Genomic DNA, 16,539 nt, shown 5'->3' on the forward strand with positions numbered 1-16,539 from the left:
ACTGCACTCCAGCACTCTCCCTTCGACACTCCAGTCAAATCTTAGCTGTTCATTTATTGCCTTAGCCCTTTTCTTTTCGGGGAAATGAATGCCAGGCATCTCTATCAGTCATCTTGCTGACATCCAGTCAATTTTGTAGATCTAGAAAACATTGATACCACTTCCCCATAACAACTTTTAGGATTAAACACTATTTATTTATAGTATCTGGCATTTACAATGACTTTTATGATTACAGATTCTCTGTTCTTCTCTTAGGTTTTATGCTTTATAATTTAAAATATGTTTCTGCCTTCTAACATTCATGTTAATTGGGTAGGTCTGTTTACTTGCTGTCTACCTCTATCATCAATTATTTGAGAACTGAGAGCTGTTATTCAGCTTAGATGGCACCTAAAATTATTTTCAAATCTTTAACACTTATAATTAACTCTCTCTTAATTTTTGACCTATCTAAAGAGCAGGTATTTTAGAATCCATTTTGTTTGATGTGAACTAGCCCCTAGTTATATAAATTGATCCAATAATACTGTTTTCCAATAATTTGTAACGGAAGAGGGACAGAGAGAATGAGAGATGTGGATTGGGTGGTAAATATCTGACAATATTTGATTCTATGATATTTCTATAATGTATGTTTCTTGTTTTCACTGAAACAATACTGCATCCTGTCACTAAAACCCACTTTCCTGTATAAGCTAGCCTATATTTTTACATTCACCACAAAAAGATTTCAAGATTCCTAAAAAAATTAAAAGTTGTCTAGACTAGAATTTTGATAACAACAACAATAAAAATCTCCCCCTAAAAATTCTGCAAGTCCTGCTATCATATAAGTTTAGGGTGTGGATTTCCACATTCTTCTTGGTATGGTATTTTTAAAATCTCATAGGTGCACGAAATAAGCAAATATATTCAAGTGAGGCTTCATAGGGTTTCCACAGGTAAATTTCTGATGAAAATAAGCATAGTATGCAAATTTACATAATAGACGAGGAAAATAAAACATTGTGAGTGGGAGTCAGTGGAAGCTATAGCTATGTTAATTATATTCCTGAAAACTTTGGATACTAAAATTATTAGTTGAAAATTATTAAATATGTATTTTAAATAATTATACACATAATAATACTGTCAGAAGGAAATCTATAGAAAACAACACCAGGCAACTTTGGAAGAATCCAAAGATCTTGTAGAAATTGAAAATGCAATAATTGACATAAAAATAAACTTCAATGGGTTGATTAAATACTAGACTAGACATTGTTAAAGAGATAATTGGTAAAATGGAAGTTAGCAATGAAAAAATTATCTGGAATGTGGAAGGAGGAAATAAATGTTTTGTGAATAGGCATTAAGAACTCTAAAAGATAGTGTAAAGATATCAAGTGAAAAGCAACAAATGAGTAAGGGAGAGGCAAATTTTGAAGAAAAAATAGCTAACAAATATATAGAACTAATGAAGAATATCAAATTTCAGATCACAAAGTATAAATACATTTATTGTATTTTCCCTGACAATGAAACAAAATCAAATTTATACTTTGACATATCATAATGAAACTGAAGAATGCTAAAAACAAGAAGCAACCAAAGAGAAAAGACAAATTACAAGAAAAAAATTGATAACAATTTTATAGATGACAGAATACAGCAGCAACAAGAGAATTCAAAAGACAAATTGTACCTTCTAGTGATTGAAATAAAATAATAGTTAACCTAGTATTTTATAGCTAGCTAAACGATCATCAAAAAATAAGAATGAAATAGAAACATTTTCAGACACATAAGAATTGTGGAAGTTTACCCTCATCAGACACTCACTGAAAAAAATTATTTTTAGGAATGCATTTCAAGAAGAAAATTGATTCCACAAATAGGCAGATATGCAAGAAAGGCACTATCTCTGCCTGGAGTCAGCTCTGATTCATAACGGTTGCTCGAATTATTAGAAAACTAATACATCATTTTTACATATGACTTTAAATTAAAATATGGTTATTGCAGCACAAATTTTAGAATGAAAAGAGTGTATCACAATTTAAAAGTAATTATCAGATTCTGAAATTTTCAAAAAAACTACAAATAAGACCAAATAAAATTTCTTTTTTCCATGCTGGTTAAGTTTTTGGTTCCTTAATGTGGATAAACTGGAGCTTCATATGAGAACTTGTTTTATATCTTCTTTGTATTTTTGTCTCACATGCACACACAAAAGAGTCTTCAGGTACTGTCAATTCTTTATAGTTTTAAGAACATTATCTGGCCACAATTTGTGTCAACATCAAATTCATAACATCTGAATGAATACTCCTATTTAGTAGGCAATAATAAACATTCAAATCAGAATTCTAGGAAGTTGTAATATGTGTTAATTTATTTTATAATTAAAGAACAAGATACTTCTGAGCAATCTCTTCTATATTCCTGTCAAATTCTTTGTCTAAATCACTAAACAGAACAAGACAGAGTCAATGCTTTTATGCCTTATATTTTCTGAATCTTTCCTATTCAACATGATTCCTCAAGGATTATATTTGGTGCCTTCCTTCTGAAATCACCTCACTGCCCTAACATGATATTCAGCTAGAGAAGGTCAAGACACAACTTATTTGAGCAGCTAAACTAATTACTTCTCACATTTGCTGAATGGATTTTTTTTTTTTCAGTTTGAAAATCAGTTATCTTAAGGAAAAAAAGTTTCTTTATCTCTTGGATATTCATTAATACTCTTCCCTTGGCCAGCCCTAGGCCTAAAATTCTCTTTATCTTCTTAATGCAAATCTAAATATAATGGTCTTTCTAATTTTTCTGAACATTTTTGGAAGCATCAGCTCATTTAAATTGTTATTCTTCCTGACACTATTCTTAAAATTTGTTCTTAAAACTTTATATAGACTAAAAGTTTACATCAAGAGAAATTTCATCTGTCCATTCATGCCTTACTTGGATCCTTTGTATAGTCCATCTTATCAAGAAAATGCTCAGTGTGATATGCAAAATGACCCCCATAAAGATGTTCGTGCCCTTTTACATTGCAAAAGGGACTTTGCAGATATAATTAAAGTTACATATCTCATAATAGGGCAATTACCTTGGATGATCTATGTGTACCCAATCTAATCACATGAGCATTTAAAAGCAGAGGGTGTTTTCCTAGATAAAAATGCAGCAAAAAAAAAAAGAAGTCAGAGAGAGTTAACATTATGGGAGGGACTCAATCAGCTATTGCTGGAGAAAGTGACATGGAAAGCATCAGAATGATGATAGGCAAACTCTAGGAGCAAAGGACAACCCTGTCCTGGCTGATGGCTAAGAAAGAAATGGGGAAATTAGTCTTATAAACTCAAGGAAATGAATTGGGTCAACAACCTAAATGAGATCTAAATAATATCTTAGTCCAGAAAAAACATTAATTTTGGCCTTGTTAGGCCTTGAGCAGATAATTCAGCTTAGCCACACTGTGTCCAGGCTTTTGAACCACAAAACTGAGATAATAAATGGGCATTGTTTGAAACCACTGATTATGTGGTAATTTGTTATAGCAGGAATAGAAAATTAATACCACTCACAATTCTCCTCCCTTGTAGAGCCCATCTCATGGAAGTGAGCCTGTCTTTTCCCTTACTTTTATTAAGTTGGCCTTCAGAATATCTAAATTATATATCAGCACAACCCAGGCATCCTCTTATCTCTTCTCTGACTTCCAAAATGGCATTATTTCTCTTCCTCGAGGCTTTCCATCTCTCCTGTTATACCAATTCTTTTCAGGAAAGGGTCAAAATTAGAATAGTAGTTTCTGTATTTGTTCTCCCTGTCTCCTGGGAGATGAAATCATCAGCAAGGCAAGTCCAGAACTTGTCAGATACTCTGATTTTAGCCAACCGAGACTTCCAGCAGATGTCCAGAAAGTCTTTCATTTTGCCTCCGTGCCAGTTCTGTAGTTTGTGTCAGGAACACATCATCCATTCCCTCCATCTGTTAGTCTGTCACCTTCAAATTTAAAAATTATAAAGAAGCAACATTTATGTAGTTGGCTCTGGGATGATACTAATGTTACTTTGGTGCATCTCTCTTTTTACATTCTCACAAATGTTGCCTTTGAAGTCATTTTTAAGTATATATACATATATATATGTATTTAGGGTATAAAACATGATGTTTTGATATGTGTACATTGTGGAATGGTTAAGTCAATATGATTTACGCATGCATTCCCTCAAAAAGTTATTTTGTGTGTGTGATGAGAACACTTTAAAAATCTACTCTCTTAGCTATTAAGTATATAAGACATTGTTATTAACTATTATCACCATTATCTACAACAAGTCTCTTGAAATTATTCCTCCTGTCTAACTAAAATTTTATATTTTTGACCAACATCTCCCCACTCCTACCACCCCGGCAGCCTCTGGTAACCACTATTCTACTCTCTGCTTTTAGGAGTTCAACTTTTTTATATTCTACATATAAATGTCATCATGTGATATTTGTCTTTCTGTGCCTGGCTTATTTCACTTAACATAATGTCCTCCAGTTCCATCCATGTTGTCGCAAATGACAAGATTTCCTTCTTTAAAAGTGAATACTATAATGGTGTTCCATTATGCATATATAGCATATTTTCTTTATTTGTTCATTGATGGACACTTAGGATGATATCATAGATTGGCTATTGTGAATTTAATGATGCATTGAACATCAGAGTTCAAGTATCTCTTCAAGATGCTGATTTTATTTCCTTTGGCTACATACTCAGAAGTGGGATTGCTGGATCATATAGCAGTGCTATTTTTAATTTTTTTGAAAAACTTTAATACTGGTTTTCATAACGGCTGTACTAATTTACATTCCCATCAAAAGTATACAAGGGTTACCTTTTCTTCATATCCTCATCAACCCTTATTATCTTTCTTTTTTTTTTTTGAATATAGATATTCTAACAGATGTGGAGTTATATCTTACTGTGGTTTTAATTTGCATTTTCCTGAGGATTAGTGATATTAGACATATATTTTCATATGTCTGTTGGCCATTTGTATGTCTTTTTATGAGAAATGTCTATTCAGGTCTTTTGCCCATTTTTAAATCAGGTTTTATTTGTTTTCTTGCTAATGAGTTGAGTTCCTTACATATTTTGGATGTTAACTACCTGCAAGATGCACTATTTGCAAATATTTTCCTCATTTCATGCATTGCTTCTTCACCCTGTGACTGTTTTCTTTGCTATGCAGAAGTTTTTAATTTGATTTAATCCTATGTGTTTATTTTAGCTGTACTTTTGGGGTCAAATTCGAAAATGCCTAGACAAAAAAAAACCAGTCTATTGCCTAGATCAATGTCATCGAGCTTTTCCCCTTTGCTTTCTTATAGAAATTTTACAGTTTCAGGTCTTACATTGAACCCTTTTCCTGTATACCCTGACTATACTCAGCGACTGTGCTTGAGGCTGCAGTGTTTACCCAGAAATAACTTTGCCATGAAATATCTCGCTTTTATTACGATTTTTGCATTGCTCTATTATGTCGATTTTGGAAACAAAGAATATCATTCTGTTTATAGCATTCTGTTTTTAGTAGCGGTATACCATTTACATAATATAGTAATTCTTGATTGCTGAAAATGTCAAATCCTAGAAAACATAGCTTTTCTATGCATGATGTTAACATTGTTCTCAAACAGTTGTTGGCCAAAGATTCATTTGATGAATCTGATTTTTGAAAAATAGATGATTCTGATGATTCTGACAATTCTAATGTTAATTCTGTTTAGAAATAACTCCAATAACAGTTTTTATATTTTATTTTCACATTGAAAATAAGTCAGATTTGCTTCAGCCTCAAAAAGTGTGTTTATGTAAAATTAAATCAGCATTAAAGTGAGCTGCACTTTGTTTTTCTAAACAGGAAAAGGGTCTTTACTCCATTTTAAGTTGATTTTTCTATGTGCTGTGAGATAAAGGATTAATTTTATTCTTGTTCATGTGGATATCCAGTTTTCCCAACACTGTTTATTGAAGTGACTGTCCTTTCCCTGTTTTGTGCTCTTGTTCCCTTTGTCAAAAATCAATTGATCTTATATATGTGGATTTATTTATGGGTTCTTTATCCTCTTCCACTGGCCAATGTATCTGTTTTTATGTCAGTACCATACTGTTTTGATTACTATAGCTTTGTAGTTGATTTTGCAATATGGTAATTATGATGCCTCTGGCTTTGGTCTTTTTGCTCAAGATTTCTTTGGCTATTCAAGGTCTTTTATGAGTCCATATGAATTTTAGGATTTTTTTTCTAATCCTATGAAAAATGTCATTGGAATTTTGATAGGAATTGCGTTGAATTTACTGATTACTTTGGGTAGTTTGGACATTTTAAAAATATTAATTATTCTAATCAATTTCTTTGTGCTTTTTTCAATTTTTTTATCAATGTTTTATGGTTTTCAGTGTACAGATATTTCACCTTCTTGGTTAAGTTTATTTCTAAGCATTTTATTTTTCTGTAGCTATTCTTAATGAATTGTTTTCTTGATTTCTTTTTCAGATAGTTTATTGTTGACGTGTAGAAATACTACTGATTTGTGTATGTTAATTTTGTATCCTACAATGTTACTGAATTTGTTTATTAGTTCAAACAGTTATTTCATGGAGTCTTTGAGGTTTTCTCTAGTAAGACATAAGTAGACATAATGTCTATAAACAGCGACAATTTAATTTCTTTTTTTCTGACTTGGATGCCTTTTATTTGTTTTTCTTGCATAATTGATCTGACCAGGACTTTCAGTAATATGTTGAATAGGAGTGGCAAGAGTGGGCATCCTTGTTTTGTTTCTGATCAAAGAGTAAAAGCCTAAAACTTTTCACCATTAAGTATGGTATTAGCTGTCAGATTGTCATACATGGCCTTTATTATATCGATTTACATTCCTTCTGTATCTAATACTTTGACAGTTTTTATCTTGGAAGAGTGTTGAATTTTGTCAAAAGGTTTTCTGTATATATTGAGATGATTATAGGATTTTTGTCTTTCATTTGTAATGATGTAACACATTTATTCATTTGTGTATGTTGAATTCTCCTTGCAGCCCAGGGATAAATTCCACTTGATTATGATGAATTATCCTTTAACTGTGCTGTTATATTCAGTTTACTGGTATTTTTATTGAGGATTTTGAAGTCATTTTAATGTTATTATAGAGACCTGGAATTTGCTAGCTCATTAGCCTGCTTGTCTGGCTGTGGGACCTCAATCCCTCTTCTGGGTTAACTTTGCTTTCCCTGACATTTCTAGGAGAATTCAAAGCTATCTCTAACACATTTAGGAATCTGTCCTAATTACTTCTGATCATGATGCTTTGACTTTAATTTTAATTACCACTATTGACTCTCTATTTAGACAGCCTGATTCTCTCTGCCACTCTACTCATTTGCTGGCCAATTCCCAGAGCACTACACAAGGCTTCCACAGCTTGACCACTTCTTCTGCAAAGTCTATAGCTAATATTGTAGTCCATAGTATATAGCAGTTTGTAGTCTAATCTAGTACCTAACGGACACATATATCTATTAAATTTAAATTTAAATACATTAAAATTCAAAATTCACTTCCTCAGTTGTACTAACCACATTTCAGCTACTCAACTCAATTATTGCCAGTGGCTACCACATTGGACAGCACAGGGTAACACTCACAGTTTGTTGCAGTAAGTTCTATTCAATAGTGTTGGTCTATAGAGAAGTATCCTCCTCCTCTACATTCTATTCCTTTACAGGGATCCCCAGAAAGCTATTATACAAGGATTAGAAAGTACAGAAGGGCTTAAATGTTTGCTTATGATTGCTAGCTTTCGAGTATTACAACAGAAAAAGGGAATCAGATTTCCTCCTATATGGGGGAATTTTCCTAAATAGATAGTTCTTTATCTTTGCAGAAAATATAAAAATCAAGCCATACTAATGACCAGTATTCACACTGTTGAGTGTACACCATCTCAAAATACATCATGAATCAAAAGGAAACTCATTAGCACCTGGCTGGGAATATTCTGTTTTATTAAATTTTTGTTTCTAAGTAAAATATGTTGCTGGATAAAAGTAGTTAAAACTTTTCTCTGCCTGGATATTAGGAAACAATCTGGCACTTCCCACCAATGCCACATCCCTCCCCATATCTCTTCTGATATAACATCTTCAGGAAATGTGACAGGTGAAAACTCAATCTGCTCTACTGATAAAGAACAGAGAAACACGCAAAAAAGGACTAAGGCTTTGTTACGGAATAGGGAAGCTGCATCTTTTGTTGTATACATCACACTCAAAGGACTTCTTGAAACCAAACCATATTTCTCTGACTCTTCCTGCAATAGATTAAATGGGTATGCAATTAGCTGAGCCGACAAGCCATTTACATTGTGTTCTTGGAACTACAGATACTCCAAAGAAGAAGTATGCCTAAATTTGTGATAGCCTCCCAACCACCTAAGAATAAGTGTGGGAAATGGGAATCTGGGTCATTGGTGCCATCTCTGCCTATTCTATTTGTCCACACTAATGAGTGTTTGCCTTTTGTCTATTTTAAAATGTTTAATTTGATTTGGTTAAGTTAGTGAACTAGTAAAATAGACTTGAAGATATTGACATTAACCCACAGAAGATATTCTGCTTCAAGAAGTAATTTAGGTACTGCTGTGAAGGGATTTTGCTGAAATAATTAAGAACTTAAACCTTAAAATAAACAGATTAGGTCTGGGCGGGCCTGGGCCAATTGCATGAATCCTTTAAAAGCAGAAAGTTTCCTTCAGCTCACTGGAGAAGGGAAAGTCAAAGAAATTCCAAAAGACAAAGATTCAGGACTCGAGAATTTTTGTTGCTGGAGGGGGCTATGTGTCAAGGAAGCTGGGTGGCCTCTAGGAGCTGAGAGTGACCCCTGACTGAGAGCTAGGAAAGGAAAAGGAGAAGTCAGTCCTTTAACAACAAAGAATTTAAACAAGAATGAGAGTGAAAACGTATTTTTCCCCAGAGCCTCCAGAAAATAAATCAACCTGGCTGACAACCTGATTTCAACCTGTGAAACCTGGAAGAGACAATTTGGCCATGATGTCCTGCATTTCTGACCCCATGGAACTGTGAGTTAATAAATGGGTGTCGTTTTAAGGTACTAAGTTTGTGGTCATTTGTCATACTGCAATGGAAAATATAGTGAGATAATACCATTACTTCTATGTAGTCTCTGTCCTATCCAGAGTGCACAGATCAGTTTAGTTCAAGTAATAGCTACTGGCCTCCTCAAAAGTGTTCAATTCTCAATCAGGCTCACACGAAACAAGTCTTAGTCTGCACCAAGCTTTACTACCAACTCACAAAGAATGAAAGAAAGGAGCCACAATTAACACCAAATCAAAATCTTTGATGCCATGATTCAATCAGATTAAGGTTTCTAAAATAACTCCATTCTTCTTTATTATTATTTGTGCAAATGTGTGAGTTATATGAGAATTTTTTTACATGTATATCATGAGTAGTGATCAAGTCAAAGTATTTAGGGTATCCATCACCCAAAGCATGTATTGGTATACAAATAGAAACATCGACCAATTGAACAGAGTAGAGAACCCAAAACTAAAGCCACATATTTACAGCCATCTGATCTCTGACAAGGCCATCATAAACTTACATGGGGGAAGGGACACCCTCTTAAATAAATTGTGCTGGGAATATTAGATAGCTATGTGCAGAAGAATGACACTGGGTCTCTATCTCTACCATATGCACAAATGAACTCAAAATGGATCAATGACTTACATGTAAGACTTAAAACCATAAAAATACTAGAAGAAAATCTAGGGAAAACTCTCCTGTGCATTGCTTTAGACAAATAATGTATGACTAAGAACTCAAAAGCACAGACAACAAAAACAAATATATACAAATGGGACTTAATAAAACTAAAATGCTTCTGCTCAGCAGAAGAAATAATAGACAACTATCTAATGGGAGAAAATGTTTGCAAAATATTCATCCAATAGGAGACTAACATCCAGAATACACTCCCATTCTTGAGTGCATTTTGAGTTTGATAGACCAGCTCTATGTCCATTACAAATTTTACAGGAAAGCTACTTAGTTTGGGGTTCTTACCAATCATGTAGCTACAAAGATTATGCAATTAACTTCTATTCCCTAGGACAGATGTCTTATAAATCCATAAAATTGTAGGCTTATTTATAAGTCCCAAACTTGGAGAAGACATTCATTTACTTCTTAGCTGGTGAATTCCATCAGTATATTCACAAGAAGATGTAGTCTAGTCAAAATTGCCTGACCTGAGGAAAATGGGAGAAACTGAGTTACAGACTCAGTTTTCCTCTAGCTCCCAATTATAGTCAAAACAACTGCTTTTCTTTGATGCTAAGATTTTTTTTTCTTTTCAAAGAATTATTTTTCCAGTGTCAAACAGTCCATTCCACCTCTACCTCATTACAATTTGGACTCCAATGCCTCCCTCTGCCTCAATTGACCTGTAATACCTTCATAGCCAAATCTACAAGCTAAGTACTGAAAAAGTCAAGGCTTATTTTGTTTTAATTTGTTTTGTGGTGGTCATTTGCTACAAAAACTAGTCCCATGAAGATTAATGGATATGAAATATATACTTATATTAAAAGGAGAGTGTATCCACATCTGTGTATTAGTAACAGCCCTCGTCAATTCAGGCATCCTACATATGTTTGCGTATGTCTTCCTGACGTAACTTCCTTTTTACTAGTCCTAATTGCTTATTTCCATTCTGAATCCACTTCAACAACTCTTCAGAACATCAGTAATGTTGCATGTTATGCAATAATCTCATGTTTAGTTTATTTATTATCCATATGCTAAAAATTGGTATATAATAGACATCAGAAACCACAAGTTTTATTTTTTAGCCTCTTCTAAATAGTTTGTGTTTAATAGCCAGTCTTTCTATTCTTCATGGAATTCCTGAAGTAGTCAACACTTTTTTTAATCTTATAATTTGGGTCTCTCTTCTGTATTCAGTTTTGTGTATCTTTGGACAAGTCATGTAGTCTTCAGGCAAATAGAAAACACATTCTTCGTGGTTCTTATGAGGTGAGCTTATTTCTTAGTCAAATATTTGCGCAGCTGATAATATGACTCAGATTCCAAACGTTCCTTTTCAGTGCCACCTGAGATACCTGAATTTACTTGAAAACATCGCTGTTCCCTTGCAGAAGTTAAATTTTCTGTTCAAAATCAAATGACACAGTATTCTAAGATTTTAGAAATTCCTCTTCTAGGAGTAAAACATGTCTTTACAAATTAGCAGCAAAGAACAGCATACACCTGATTAAATTGAATAGCAGCAGGTTGTAATCCCATATTAAACACATACATCTCCCAGTGAATCACATTAGGTCTATAATCCTCAGTAGGGAGTCAAAACCAACCTTCATGTCTTTTCAGAACCCATAGTAGGTTCCTGGAAGCATTAGAATTCAGGGTATTTATTACACTATGTCATTGTTTTTCCCAGAAATCTGGCTTTTCTGTAATAGGATATGCTTATTGATTTCAGAGCTCCAGTAGAATAGTTTATTGCTCCACTTCCTGCTCATATCAGTCTTCTAAACTGTGTAACTGTGTTAATTGTGTTTTGATTTCCAAATATTTCTCATCCTTATTTCACTTAGTATTTTCTCATCCTTATTTCACTTAGTATTTTCATCTTGTCACAATTGACACAATAAGCGTTATATGTATTAATTAGAAAGCTACAGTTTTTTCTCCTTTTTATTCCTGAGTCACCCATCTCTAGTCTCTGAATGCTTGAAATGGATTTTTATATATTAAATTCCCTTAGACTCTCATTCAATTTCCTTTTTCTCTAGTGGTTACTTGACTGTATGGGAGCCATCATGTTTGGCAGAATAAACATTTACCTTAGGATCAAAACTACACAGGCCTGATATTTTGTACAAATGTGGCCCTGCCCAAGTCATAGTGGTTTTGATAATTTCTCTTAAAAAAATGAAATAATTTCTACACTTCAGAATTGTTTTGAGACAAAATAAGACAATGTATGTAATTTTTGAAACATAACACAATGTAGAAATCTTTGGCATTCATAATTTAGTAACTTCTTATTCATTCATTTATTCATCCATTTATATATTTAAATATATACATTAAATTCTATATAATTTTCTTTTCACTCTAGTGTGAGCAGGTATTTGGGACTTTGATACTTCTTTGTCTTAGAAATTTTTCTTCATTGAAATATAAACAATTAAAAACAGTGTTTTTTGTATTTTAATCAATAGCCTATTTCATTAAAACTATTATACTGTAAAAGAGCATAAAAATAAAAGAAGATATTTCCCAGAGACTAAATAAAGTTGGAGACTGGAGGGGGAATTTCATCCCTACATATCTGAGAGTAGTAGGCTGGGAGGTTGGTAAAACTCTGAAGAAAAGCTTCTATTATACACCTAAAGAATTGGCACCTAGTGAGCTCCCACTGTTACTAACAATTTCTAATCTTTAAAGGTAATTTTTAAAAATTAGAGGAGCCCATGTAGGCTGGAACAATAAGCAGTGTACCTTAATAAGCCTTTAAAGAAAGCGGGAATCTTGACACTGCATTGGACTATGAAAACATTCTATACCTTGGAAAAGAGAAAGTTCCAGTAATGACTAAGAAAGTGTGTCCATAACTTAGGAAGATAAGCGGTTAGACCTAGATTCAGTTATTAAAAAATAAATGTTAATTTTCTTTTAAATATGCTATGTTTCTATTGTATGTATTAGTCAATCAAAAACTATTTTGAGTTTTTTAACTGATTAATATATACAGTACAACATAGCATATGTCCTACAACTCTAGACCTGTATTTTTGTCTGCCTAAGACTTCACTGAGCTAGAGTATTCAAATGACATTACATCATCTGACTGCTTTTGAGGATCATTCCTCCTGGATTCTACAATAAATTTCAGGATAAACCTCTAGTTGGGTAGGCTCTTTGCTCCTGTTTAATGCTTAAACAAATATATTCCACAACCATATTATGGAATACTGTAATTCCATGCAAAATAATTATTTTGAAAACAATTTGATGATAGGAAATGCTGAAGATTTATTTATTTATTAATCTTTATTAGCTATTTAATCTCAGGTAATTAATTTTTTCATTATTATTTCAATAGGTTTTGGGGGAACAGGTAGTGTTTGGTCACATGAATAAGTTCTTTAGGGGAGATTACAGAGATTTCTCCCAAACAGTGTACACTGTCTCCAATGTGTAGTCTCTTATCCCTCACCCCCCTCCCACCCTTTCCCCCAAGCCCCCAAAGTCCATTGTATTATCCTTATGCCTTTGTGTCCTCATAGCTAAGCTACTACTTGTTAGTAAGAACTTAAGATGTTTGATTTTTCCATTCCTGAGTTACTTTACTTAGAATAACAGTCTCTAAATCCATCCAGGTTGCTGAGAATGCCATTATTTCATTTCTTTTTATGGATAAGTAGATATATTCCATGGTGTATATATATATATGTAACACATTTTCTTTATATATATACATATATAAAGGACATGAATAGATATATATCTATATATATATATACATATATAAAGGACACAGATATATACACATATGTATATATATACACATATACATACACATATATATACACACACACACATATATATATATCACATTTCCACTCGTTGATTGATGGGCATTTGGGCTGGTTCCGTATTTTGGCAATTGCGAATTGTGCTGCTATAAACATACTCTTGCAAGTATTTTTTGTATAATGACTTCTTTTCCTCTGGATAGATAACCAGGAGTGGGATTGCTGGATCAAATGGTAAATCTAGTTGTTTAAGGAATCTCCACATTCTTTTCATGGTGGTTGTACTAGCTTGCATTCACATCAGCAATGTAAAAGTGTTCCCTTTCACTATGTCAACGCAAAAATCTATTAATTTTGATTTTTTAATTATGGCTATTCTTGCAGGAATAAGGTAGTATTGCATTGTAGTTTTGATTTGCATTTCCCTGATTATCAGAGAGGTTGAGCATTTTTTCAGGTTGTTGGCCATTTGTATATCTTCTTTTGAGAATTTTCTATTCATGTCCTTAGCTGAGTTTTTGATGGGATTGTTTGTTTTGTTCTCACTGATTTGTTTGTGTTCCTTGTAGATTCTGTATATTGTCCTTTGTCACATGTATAGGTTGTCAAGATTTTCTCCCATGCTGTGAGTTGTCTGCATACTCTGCTGATTATTTTTCTGTCCAGACTTAATTTAGTTTAAGTAAGTCCCAACTATTTATCTTTGTTTTTGTTGCATTTGCTTTTGGGTTCTTGGTCATGAAGTCTTTGCCTAAACCAATGCCTAGAAAGGTTTTTCTGATCTTATCTTCTAGAATTTGTATGGTTTCAGTTCTTACATTTAAGTCTTTGATCCATCTTAATTTGATTTTTGTATAAGGTGAGAGATGAGGTTCCAGGTTTATTCTTCTACATGTGGCTTTCCAATTATCCCAGCACCACTTGATGAAGAGGGTGTCCTTTCCCAACTTTATGTTTTTGTTTGCTTTGTCAAAGATCAGTTGACTGTAAGTATTTGGCTTTATTTTTGGGTTATCTATTTTGTTCCATTGGTCTATGTGCCTATTTTCATTCCAGTACCATGATGTTTTAGTGACTATGGCCTTATATAATAATTTGAAGTTGGGTAATGTGATGCTTACAGATTTATTCTTTTCGCTTAGTCTTGCTTTAGCTATGTGGTCTCTTTTTGGTTCCATATAAATTTTAGGGTTGTTTTTTCTAGTTCTGTGAAGAATGATGGTGGTATTTTGGTGGGAATTGTGTTGAATTTGTAGATTGCTTTTGGTAGTATGGTCATTTTCACAAGATTGATTCTACCCATCCATGAGCATGGGATGTGTTTCCATTGGTTTGTGTCATCTATGATTTCCTTTCAGCAGTGTTTTGTAGTTTTCCTTGTAGAGGTCTTTCACCTCCTTGGTTAGGTATATTCCTAAGTATTTAATTTATTTTTTTTACAGTAATTTATTGTAAAAGGGGTTAAGTTCTTGATTTGATTCTCAGCTTGGTTGCTCTTGGTGTATAGCAGAGCTACTGATCTGGGAACATTAATTTGGTATTCTGAAACTGCTGAATTCATTTATCAGTTCTAGGAGCTTTTTGAATGAGTATTTAGGGTTTTCTAGGTATATGATTATATCAACAGCAAACAGTGAGTTTGACTTCCTCTTTACTGATTTGGATGCCCTTTATTTTTTTCTCTTGTCTGATTGCTCTGGCTAGGACTTCCAGTAATATGTTGAAGAGGAGTGGTGAAAGTGGGCATCCTTGTCTTATTCCAGTTCCCAGAGGAAATGTTTTCAACTTTTCCCTGTTCAGTGTAATGTTGGCTCTGGGTTTGACACAGATGGCTTTTATTACCTTAAGGTATATCCCTTCTATTCTGGTTTTGCTGAGGGATCTAATCACAAAGGGATGCTGGATTTTGTAAAATGTTTTTTCTACATCTATTGAGATGACCATGTGATTTTTTAAAATTCCATTTATGTGATGTATCATATTTACTGACTTGCATATGTTAAAACCATCCCTGCATCCCTGGCATGAAACCCACTTGATCATGGTGGATTACCTTTTTGATATGCTGTTGGATTCAATCAGCTGCTACTATTTGTTGAGGATTTCTGCATCTGTGTTCTTCAGGGATATTGGTCTATAGTTTTCTTTTTTTGTTATGTCCTTTCCTGGTTTAGGATGATACTGGCTTTGTAGGATGATTCAGGGAGGATTCCTGCTTTGTGTATTTTTTTGGAATAATGTCAATAAGATTTGTACCAGACATTCTTAGAGTGTCTGATATAAAATTCAGCTGTGAATCCACCTGGTCCTGGACTTTTTTTGTTGGCAATTTTTTTTATTATCATTTGAATCTCGCTGCTTGTTATTGGTCTGTTCAGAGTTTCTATATCTTCCTGGTTTAATAAAGGAAGGTTGTATATTTCCAGGAATTTATCCATCGACTCTAGGTTTTCTAGTTTATGTGCATAAAGGTGTTCATAGCAGCTTTGAACAATCTTTTGTATTTCTGTGGTATCGGTTGTAATATCTCTCATTTCATTTCTAATAGAGCTTATTTGGATCTTCTCCCTTCTTTTCTTGGTTAATTTCACTAATGGTCTATCAATTTTATTTATCTTTTAAAAATCCAAGCTTTTTGTTTTATTTATCTTTTGTATTGTTTGTTTGTTTCCATTTGATATAGCTCTGCTCTGATCTTGGTTATTTCTTTTCTTCTGCTAAGTTTGGGTTTGGTTTGTTCTTGTTTCTCTAGCTCATTGAGGTGTGACATTACATTGTCTATTTGTGATCTTTCAGACTTTTTGATGTAGGCATTTGATTCTATGAACTTTCCTCTTAGCACCACCTTTTCTGTTTCCCAGGGGTTTTGATAGGTTGTGTCACTATTATTGTTCACTTCAAATA

This window comes from Homo sapiens, chromosome 12 (genome assembly GCF_000001405.40).
Source record: "Homo sapiens chromosome 12, GRCh38.p14 Primary Assembly".
In the NCBI taxonomy this organism is placed as follows: domain Eukaryota; kingdom Metazoa; phylum Chordata; class Mammalia; order Primates; family Hominidae; genus Homo; species Homo sapiens.